At 41.4% G+C, this 10516-nt stretch overlaps 1 protein-coding gene across 3 annotated transcripts in view; it reads right to left on the bottom strand.

Moving 5' to 3' along the window:
* The window catches only part of F9 (coagulation factor IX), a 32721-nt gene continuing 23105 nt past the window's right edge, over positions 901-10516 (bottom strand). For all 3 annotated transcript variants that reach the window (NM_000133.4, XM_005262397.5, NM_001313913.2), the window contains 2 exons: positions 3505-3619; positions 901-2836 (listed from right to left, as the gene is read on the bottom strand). In NM_000133.4, the coding sequence (NP_000124.1) occupies positions 2289-2836; positions 3505-3619 (663 nt within the window). In that variant the 3' untranslated portion in view covers positions 901-2288. The remainder of the gene's footprint in view (positions 2837-3504; positions 3620-10516) is intronic.

Here is a 10516-nt window from a genome sequence, read left to right as displayed (position 1 = left end):
TTGGATGAAGGAATAAAAATAAAAACATGAAATCACAGACTAACAAAATTGCAAGGGATTTGGGAGAGCATCCTGTCAAATACTCTCATTATAGAAGTGGAGAAATCAAATTCCCAAATGGAGAGTGACTTATTGAAGGCCATACTCACAGTTAGTTAGACCCAATTCTGTCTCAGGTGGATTCAGACCACTGTCCTCTCTGGGACACAGCTCACACTGCCTTATATGAAAACTGGATAACAGAGCATCAAATCTCTGCTGTGTTATATTGCATTTGAAAACATTTTTCAGAGTGTTTTGTTGAATGTAGTGTTTGGGATGCCTCTCCATGAATGATTTAACAAGAAACGCCTCAAGAAATGTATTTATTTATTTATTTTCTTTGAGACAGAGTCTCACTCTGTCACCCAGGATGGGGAGTGCACTGGTGCGATCTTGTCTCACTGCAACCTCCCGCACCCCCTGCTCCCCAGGCTCAAGTGATTCTCCTGCCTCAGCCTCCCCAGTAGCTGGGATTATAGGTGCACATTACCAAGCCCAGCTAATTGTTCTATTTTTAGTAGAGACAGGGTTTCACCATGTTGGCCAGGCTGGCCTGAAACTCCTAACCTCAGGTGATCCGCCCACCTTGGCCTCCAGAAGTGCTGGGATTATAGGCGTGAGCCACTGGGCCCAGCCAAGAAATTTAAAAATATGTTTATTTATACTTATATGCGAAGACAAAAATATATTGACTAAAAGAACTAAAGGAACTAGCAAGAGTGAGGCCTGGCTGGGGGTGAGGTTGGGGCAGGAGAAGGCAGCAGCTTGGCGGGGTCAGAGTGATTTTGTCAGTAGTCCCATGCATCATCAAATACAGGGTGACTGATTCACATCAATGGAATCCACAAAAAGCCAAGGTATGAACCAGAACACCAGTTTATTAATTCACAAAGGGAAACATACGTCAGTTGGTCAGCAACTCTCTAGAAGATTCAAGATAGAAGGATTAACTATAATCAAAATGTTCCATGGTGAACACGAAACCAGAAAAGGACAACTTAGTTGGCTGATTGGAATGACTTATGCCTTTGAGCCTGCTGCACCCTTCTCCACTTCGGGGTATGCTAGTTAAAGGAGACATGATACTTATGTCCTCTGGTCTAGGCAACTTCAACTTCTTGCTTGGCTCTGAACACTGCTGAAGACACACTGTTGAATTCTTCCTCAAAGTCTCTACTAGCTGTAGATTGCAAACGAACGGTTCTCTTCTTTCTGTTAGCATTATTATTATTATTTTTAGAAAGAGTACAATATGTCTGGGTCAATGTCAGCTTTTTTAGTTACAATGATATGCCAATCTTGCCTTCGTGAAATCATGCCTAGTCAGACCTCCATAACCATACAAGCTCTTAGAATGGCTTATTGCTTCCATTATATGTGTGTATGCGTGTGTGTCTACACACACGCATACACACACACTATATATTTATATTGTATATTATATATTTTATATATATATTATATATATAAAATAACTTAACTCTCTGAAAGAAACTTTTCCCCCAAACTTTTCAGGCACCTTACTTCATCCCTATGTTCTGAAAAGCAAGTCTCCACTACGGAAGCAAGTCTGGGTTTGATAGACATGTATAACTGTGTACAGAAGTATAACAGAATGATGCTCCCCATCTCTCCTTTAACGACCATGGAGGGTAAAAGGGAGAGAGGGAGTAAGAAAGAGAAAAACTGATTTGGGGATTGGGATTTGGAAAAGGTAAAAGATTGAGGAATAGGGTAGAGGAAAAGGAGTAGTGTTTTTGATGAGTTTTAGCCTCTCAGCTACTCCTGTGTTCTTTCTTCATGAGTGTGGTACTGGCCTTGTGATAGAGTAGACCAAAGATCCTGTACTGTATACAGAACTAATAAACATTGATGTTTTGGTTGGAGAAGCAAAGAAGATCGGGAAGATGGAATGCTGCTAAGGAGGGAAAATTGAGTGAGTTAGTTGCCATAGTGGAGAACCATAGTATCTGATGGACAGAGTGGAGAATTTAACTTCACAATTTTGTCAAGGGCTGGGCCCTTAGAAATGACTGTAATTTCCTAACACATTATATTCCTCTAGTGGTTCCATTTTCTAATCAATTTGCTCAGGTAAAATATGAAATTCTCCCCTGTAAAGAGAAAAAGCAATGATCATAGAATGTATATATTCAAATCTAACAAAAGATGGGAAAGTGATTAGTTAGTGAGAGGCCCTGTTAATTTTCAATTCCAATGAATTAACCTTGGAAATCCATCTTTCATTAAGTGAGCTTTGTTTTTTCCTTAATCCAGTTGACATACCGGGATACCTTGGTATATATTCCATATTTGCCTTTCATTGCACACTCTTCACCCCAGCTAATAATTCCAGTTAAGAAACTGGTCCCTTCCACTTCAGTAACATGGGGTCCCCCACTATCTCCTTGACATGAATCTCTACCTCCTTCATGGAAGCCAGCACAGAACATGTTGTTATAGATGGTGAACTTTGTAGATCGAAGACATGTGGCTCGGTCAACAAGTGGAACTCTAAGGTACTGAAGAACTAAAGCTGATCTCCCTTTGTGGAAGACTCTTCCCCAGCCACTTACATAGCCAGATCCAAATTTGAGGAAGATGTTCGTGTATTCCTTGTCAGCAATGCAAATAGGTGTAACGTAGCTGTTTAGCACTAAGGGTTCGTCCAGTTCCAGAAGGGCAATGTCATGGTTGTACTTATTAATAGCTGCATTGTAGTTGTGGTGAGGAATAATTCGAATCACATTTCGCTTTTGCTCTGTATGTTCTGTCTCCTCAATATTATGTTCACCTATTAAAAATAAATTTCATTTTAAGTCACAAACAGTATTTCACATACACAGATTTTCTAAGTGACTACTTGGGACCACTGACCTAATTGGCAATGTTAAAGATCTCATTCTTATATTGTGATAATTTTGGTTAAATGTAATGAGAGCCAATGCATATTTTTCAGACCAAAAAGCCATTCAGGACTATCATAGAGATGGTTCTGTTCACTCATGCTGTTATAAGCCTTTCATTGGTGATAATGAATCCACTAGTCATGAATTATCCTAGATTTTCCAAATTTCAAGTATCCTCACCCCTTTTTTGAGCACAAACTCATTTGGCCATTAATTCAAATGTTTGTTTTCTGAGGACCTGCTACAGGTTGTGCCAAGCACCAGAGATAAAAGGATCGGTGACATGACACTGATTTTTGGGAAGGCCTTCTGGTATGGAAATGGCTACATCAAGAACTAATTGTACCTCACTGAAATGAGTGATAATAGGGGTATATCAAAAGAACTATGGATGCTTGGAGGACGGTGCGACGTGGGTTCTGAAATTATGACCCTTCTGCCTTTAGCCCAATTTATTCAACAACAATTTTATTAGACCTTAGTAAAATATGGTGTACCAATCATATTAAAGAGCTAGTGGTGCTGCAGATTATTATTCTTTCTGTGTATTTACCTGCGACAACTGTAATTTTAACACCAGTTTCAACACAGTGGGCAGCAGTTACAATCCATTTTTCATTAACGATAGAGCCTCCACAGAATGCATCAACTTTACCATTCAAAACAACCTGTGAAAACAAAATTAAGACTCTTACTGCATAATACATTTGATCTAGAAAAAAATAAATATGTGTGCTGGTTACAGGAATAGGCAAAATATTGGCTTCTAGGTGCTGGCAGAAATGGAATGTTTCTGGAAATGTGAGCTTTGCAGATGAATTAGTGTTTTTGGTGCATAAACAAAAAAGCCATTTATGTAACTGCATTGAAAGCAACACACAATGAGAGACAGGGAAGCTTAAGCTTAGGCAAATCTGAGGAATGGCTTCTTTTGGTGATTTGAGGTCCTTGGATTTTTTCCCCATGAGTCAGTTTCTCTGATGGCAAAATTTGCTTCATGGGGATACAGCAGATACATTAGGAAACACACTGGCTTGACTCCTTGAGATTAATAGTTATTAGGGTGTTCCCTGTACCTACATGATGAAATTTTTTTTGCTACATGTTACTCAAAAGAGAAAAACTACTGATTTTTCTAGGAGGTCTTTTCAAACCCTTTTCAAACTGGAATATTATGAAGCAAGACCTAAGGCCTCCATAAGGGCTGTGCTTATAGCCATCCAGGCAGTGAGGAATAGCAGGGCTCATTCATTCTTTCCACTCTCTCTTAACCATATTCTACTCCCCTCTGGCTGGATAGTAAGCTGCCTTTGTCCTAAAATATCAACTTAGCTGTGCTTGAATTTTGGGCAAAGTGGACAAAGCAGTGACGCATTGAGCCTGGGTATTATTAGATAAGAGGCAAGTCCATTATCTCAACTGGATATTCGTTGCATAATTACAGTCGACAATGAATATTTTCTCCATCTCAATGTCTAGATCGACTTGGAGGATTTCAGTTCCAGTTGTAAGCAAGTGCCTTGATCCACCTTTATAGGAAGAAAGCTGGGAAGTGTGAACACTAGAGGGCACACTCAACATTTGGTAAATCCTTTTCAGGACCTGACTAGTTCTGAACGACTGCCCTTGTATTAAAGTGCACACAGTCTTAGGCATGAACCCATTCATAAACAAGGGAAACGAGGTAGTCCATCACTTTAAGTGGATATCAGATGGTCCTTGGGGCATGTTCTTTTTGTCCTGAATTTAATTTACTGAACACCTACTATGTCCTAGACACTGAAGCACTAGCCTCCTACCTGGAGACCTACAAAGCTGACTCATTAAAGGGCTCTGACTTCCTTTTTCATACTCTGGCTCTCCCTCTCTTTTTTTTTTTTGACGGAGTCTTGCCCTGTCACCAGGCTGGAGAGCAGTGGTGAGATCTTGGCTCACTGCAACCTCCGCCTCCCAGGTTCAAGCAATTCTCCTGGGACTACAGGCGCATGCCACCATGCCCAGTTAATTTTTGTATTTTTAGTAGAGATGGGGTTTCACCATGTTGGCCAGGATGGTCTCGATCTCTCAACCTCGTGATCCGCCCGCCTTGGCCTCCCAAAGTGCTGGGATTACAGGCGTGAGCCACTGCACCCGGCCATTTCCCTCTTTTTCTAGCTGTTGCTTTTAATTCTGAAATGTTGTAAAAATACAGAAAAAACTACATAATATAATAAACACCAGTGTGCATACAACCCAGTCTTAACAATTTTCCTAAATTTTTGAACATTTATTGAGTGTTTACTTTGGGCTAATCATTGTGGTGTTTTAAAGACATTTAATACAACATAATATCCTTATGACATGATATTAATATATTTATTTATAGATGCATGAGCTAAAGTTTAGAGGTAAACATTAACTCCCCTGAGATCAGTTGGTAAAGCTAGGAAGCAAACTCAAGTCTGCCCGGCTCCAGAATTTGTGCTCCTAAGCACCCAAATTCGGTCCAGGCATGGTCTGTGGACCAATTGCAGTAGAATCATCTGGGGATCCTTATAAAATGCAGATCTGGGGGCTAATCGAAGCTTAATTTATCAGAATATTTGGTGGGTGGGACTGGGTAAAAGGAAGCTCTCCAGAATATTCTTTACATAATTAAGTTTGAGACCTGTTATATATCTACTGAATCAGAATTTCCAAGACTTGATAATCTTTATGTTTTAAAAGTCCTCACTCCGGGCAGGAATGGCTACATACTTTGTGGGGCTCAGTGAGAAATAAAAATGTGGGGCCCCTTGTTCAAAAGCTAGGAAGAAAAGTGCCATGGAAGATACTAAAATACAAAACTTTTGCTTTCCTCTGTAGTCTCTTTTGCAACCCATCTTGTTACATTTTTAAAATTTGCCATTTAATATTTTGCTCCTTCTAGCATGGGGATATTTGCTGGGGCAGTGCAGACCCTCAAAGGTGCCCAGGAAGTGCACCCTACAATTTAACACCCACATGTCCTTAGGATCCCCTGCCTGCCAGCCACAGGACACTGGGCCCCAGCAGGGGATGATGTGTCAATCTTCCCTTGTCACTGGCCTACTGTGGCAATCAAGGTGGAGAGGTGATTCCCAAGGGACTGCAACTTTCATGCCAGGATGTGTTCCATGCCTGAAATAGAGGTGGACAAGGGGTGTGCCCCCACCATTCACCCTCCAAATGTGCTGTGGCGCATTCTTGGTCCAGAGATGCCACATGGCCAAGCCCCCTTCCAAGATAGCATAGGGCACGTGCACCTGACCAACCTTAACTCTCCCTGCTCCTATGCCCATGTCCCCGCTGGGGGAGGGGAGTGGCAATGGTAGCTAGGTAGGGATGAGGAGGGAGAGCATGTCTGGGCACCATGGGGTGGCAGTGCTCATTGGGCAGGTGTTTGGAGGGAGAGCCAGGGCTGGCTAAGGCACCAGGTGGTAGGGGAGTGGGAGGTCGAGAAACCACCCCGGAAGGTGGTGAGAAGTGAAATGGGGCTGCAGGGATTCAAGTCCCTAGGTAGCACATGCTCTGGCTGTCTCATCAGACTTCAGTTACAAAACAAAAATGCAAAGCAGTAAACCTCAGATGCACGACCTGTCTCAGTGCAAAGCCCTGCGTAAGTACGCCGGTCATAAGACCATGTGTCTGGCTGTAACTCCAATTGATTGTCAGCATCAATAAAACTTGGCCAACACTGTTATATACTGGTATTGATAGTTACAACTGAACATATTTGTTTAAGCAATTGGAATTAAGAATTCACATGCAATGATATCACGGTCCTTCTCCTCTGGTTAGTGTATTGGGGGGAAATTGGACATCTCTCAGCTCAGTAGGCTAGTTAGGCCAGGATGGATGACATCCACAGCCCCTGGGCAGAGAGATTATGATGTAGCTAGTCTGACTCCTGACAAAGACTTGCTTCCTGGAGCTTCTACTACTTTCTGGTGGATGGCTAAGAAATATGGTTGTGTTCTTTTAAGTCTGAAGAGCATTATTTTTGCCAACCCCTGACCAAACATCCTTGCCAAGGAAAAGGCCTAAAATATATTTGCATTTAAAGATATTACAAACTACTTGGTTTTGGAATGTTTGGCCGTTCAGGATCATAGCTATCAAAATATTAGCTATTTGGGGTATGAGATGTCTGCTCGGTCAAGGACAAGTTCTTAAAGACATCATGTTGGGGAATAATGGGGAAAATGGGAAGGCATATGCTCTGAGTAAGACATCTGAGTTATAATCTGTCAAACATTTTTGTTAGTCATAGTCTAATGGGAGCCTGTTTTCCCTCTTTCAGACTCACACATACACAAAAACCAACAACACACATGCTTCTACAAAATATACATTCACATCTGAATTTATGCTCTTCATTGACAATGCCAGCCCAGAACAACAGCTCTTACCCTTTGGTTTTCTTCCTAACCTTTAACTCCAACGTAACCGTTACCTGCGATTTCAGTAAAACCATTATTCTCCCTACTTACCCACCCAAGTTGTACAATAAAGAGTGTTTGCTCTCACTCATATACAAAGCAAATTCATTTGTTTGTGATGTACAGCTTGCTATGCCCACAGATGTGGTTTGCCTAGTCCTTTGCTCTAGGTCATTTGACTGGGAACAGATGGGATGCTCACTTTGGTTTTTAATGGTTAACTAGTCATTGAAATGCATTTCATCAAATAATCTTAGAGGATAATTGTTTAAATGTCTGTCCAGACTAGCTTTGTAGAGCCAGGTGCGATTACACATGTCACGTTCTTATTTCTCTTAATTGAATTTTTATCATCTGAGATAGGAATAATAGAGGGCTTTTTCAAGTGAAGATATTACTATAGTCTTAAGACCTTAGTGTAACATCCTGGCCCCTAAGGAAAAACAAGTTCTGGTTCATACATATAATAACTTTGCATGTTATCTGCCACTGAGATGTGTCCTAATCGAACAGAAAGGATTGAATCTCTGTAGCTAGCTGTACAGGGCAAGAGCTGTACAGGGTACCTTTAAAGATAGCTTCAGGCCAAAGCTGAGGAAAGTGGATGGAGACTGGGGAAAATGCTAAGACATTTTAAAGATTTTCTTTAGGTCAAAAATAGAATAAGAAATAGACCATTTCCCTGGACATTTTCTGTAGGTTAATACGGTTAACTATCGGTAAATGCATATGCTACAACTTAATATAAGCATAAGGAAAGCTTAATCACTTGGCTTCCATTGTATTCTTTTTTTTTAATCTAATAGAATGATCTTCAAATTGTTAAATGTAGAATAAATACGCCACACACCGAACTGAGGCCTATGGTAAAACAGAAAATGGAAAAACCAGGTACTTCACATAAAGGGCCAAATAGTTCTTCGGAAATGTGGGAGGAATTTTTGGGGCCAGTTTGCGCATGCTTAGAATTGTCAGCTGGCAGGGTCATGGGCATGGGATCCAAACCAAATTAAAGCTTTAGAAAGCCAAAATGCGGTGTTGCTTCTTTAAATCTGTCGGTTTTGAGCTGTTGATGAAAGCTATCTAGTAATACAGGCGTTGCAGTTTCCCTTTTTTCACTAATATTCAAAGGTTTTCATTTCTTCCCTACGTGGCGGTATGCAATTCAAGACTTGTTTTAGTTTACTACACCTCTAGACATATACTAACTCTAAGAAAAACTCATTTCTGTTCCTGTGTAGTGCATTTAACCCTCTAGCTTCCTCTTTCTACTCCTGAAGTATTTCTTCAGAGACCCTGCTTCCTTTCCCGAGTTCTCAAGGAGCTCTGAGCCCATCGCTGGGCATCTGGAGGGAAACTGAAGTACCTCCTTCCATTGGCCTCACGCCGTTCCTGTCCGGAACCTTCTAACCTTGCGCGACTTTAGAAGCTGGCCCGGCCCGCCAGTGCCTTTGGCTTTAGGAGGTAGCAAACAGGATGGGGCCGGCAGCGCCGTTCCGGAACCATAGGGGGCTCCTGGGAAGCTACCATCGCGAACAAGGCGCGGCTGCGTTGGCCCTTGGCTCCAGCCTGGCAAGCTGAGGTGAAAGCCCTGGAATAAGGTAAGAAATGAGCGTGACCGCAGACGGGATACGTGCTAGGTGAACATGGCTCTGTAGGGTCTCAAAGCTGGACAGGATCCCAGCAGTCCCTTAGCCTGCTCTGATCTCTGGCCAGGTGAACAAATGCCCTCTCCCTGAATGGGGCTATCTAGCCGCTGCTGTCCCCAGTGACAGAACAGCTCTTTAAGTCAACAATTCCGACAAACATTTGTTCAATCAACATTTGCTCCCAATGCTGCCCAACCTGCGTAACCAACCCAGTGGTTGTTGGTTGGAAAGGGCTTTCTTAATGGAGGTCAGAATCGTCTTGCCTGCTTGCAACTTTCACCCTTAAGTCCACAAAGAAGTTGTCTTCCCCTTTCCCTTGTGGCTCTTGCAAACAGCTCACCTACACCTTTTCTTTAACAGACTAACCATTTCTAGTTTGTTCAATCTGTTCATTACTCCAGATGAAAGTGAACTCTCTATGTTCTTCTTTGTGAGATTTCTTCACCAAGTGATCACTTTATTTCCCACCCTGGCTAATTTGAAAGATAAAAGAAACAACTCTGAAGAGAAAGGTTCTTATGAAGCATCAGCATTTTGAAACACTCTTTTCTAGGTGACACTGCTAAACAGTATTTCATATTTCAAAGCTAGATATATAATGTTTTCACCACTGAAGCCCCAGCTGTTGCTTGCTTTCTCTTGATGCCTTAGTCACAGCAGGTTTGCTGCAGTCTGATCTGCAATCAAATCTAGTATTTCCTCCCTGCAGATTAACCATGACATGGTGGAGCTGGCCCATCCACAAATGAGGAGAGATTCTGGTTTCTTTCATTTCCTGTTTCATTTTGTCTAAAAATGACTTTTATACACTCAATTTATCTCATATTTTTGAAAACCAGTAACCATTCATAAGGAACTGGATGGAGGTGGTGTGGAGGAAACAATGCAGAAGTATGACAGGGTCTTTCACAACTATTCTGGAAAGTAGCTCAGCTTCTTGCCTTTGGAAAAGAATAAAAGTGCTTTGAATCTGTACACATCAGTAATCTTAGTTCATGTGGATGAAATAGGGAGTGAACATATGTGCATGTGTATGTGTGCACATGCATGTATGAGTGATCTTGAACATTCCAAATGATCTTAGCTAGGCTTGACAGCAAAAAGACAACAGGTACAATAACTATAAGTGTGCAGTGAGGTCATGAAATGATTTGAAATAATGTGTATCATTTATATCTTCTCCCTCCCGGAACAACCACAACCACCATCTCATAGTCTTTTCTGCTTGAAAAGAAAATAAGGTGTCTGCTTGAGTTACTAAACTTTCTTTCAGGAAACATCTGCATTGTTAATGCATTGGCAAACATCTGGTTTAAAGGGGGTGGGTGAGAAACGGAAATGATGTGACTAAATTGAGCCTTTATACCCTGTTCCCCTTTTTAGTTCTGATTTAAATGTATTTGCCATTTCATTTCTGGAATGACAAGGAGACAATGCTAAACTCACAAAGCAGACATCCTTTTTTTTTTTTTTTTTT

Source organism: Homo sapiens, chromosome X, assembly GCF_000001405.40.
Source record: "Homo sapiens chromosome X, GRCh38.p14 Primary Assembly".
NCBI lineage: Eukaryota > Metazoa > Chordata > Mammalia > Primates > Hominidae > Homo > Homo sapiens.
Note: the sequence above shows the minus strand (reverse complement) of the source record. Positions and strands in the feature narration are given on the sequence as shown.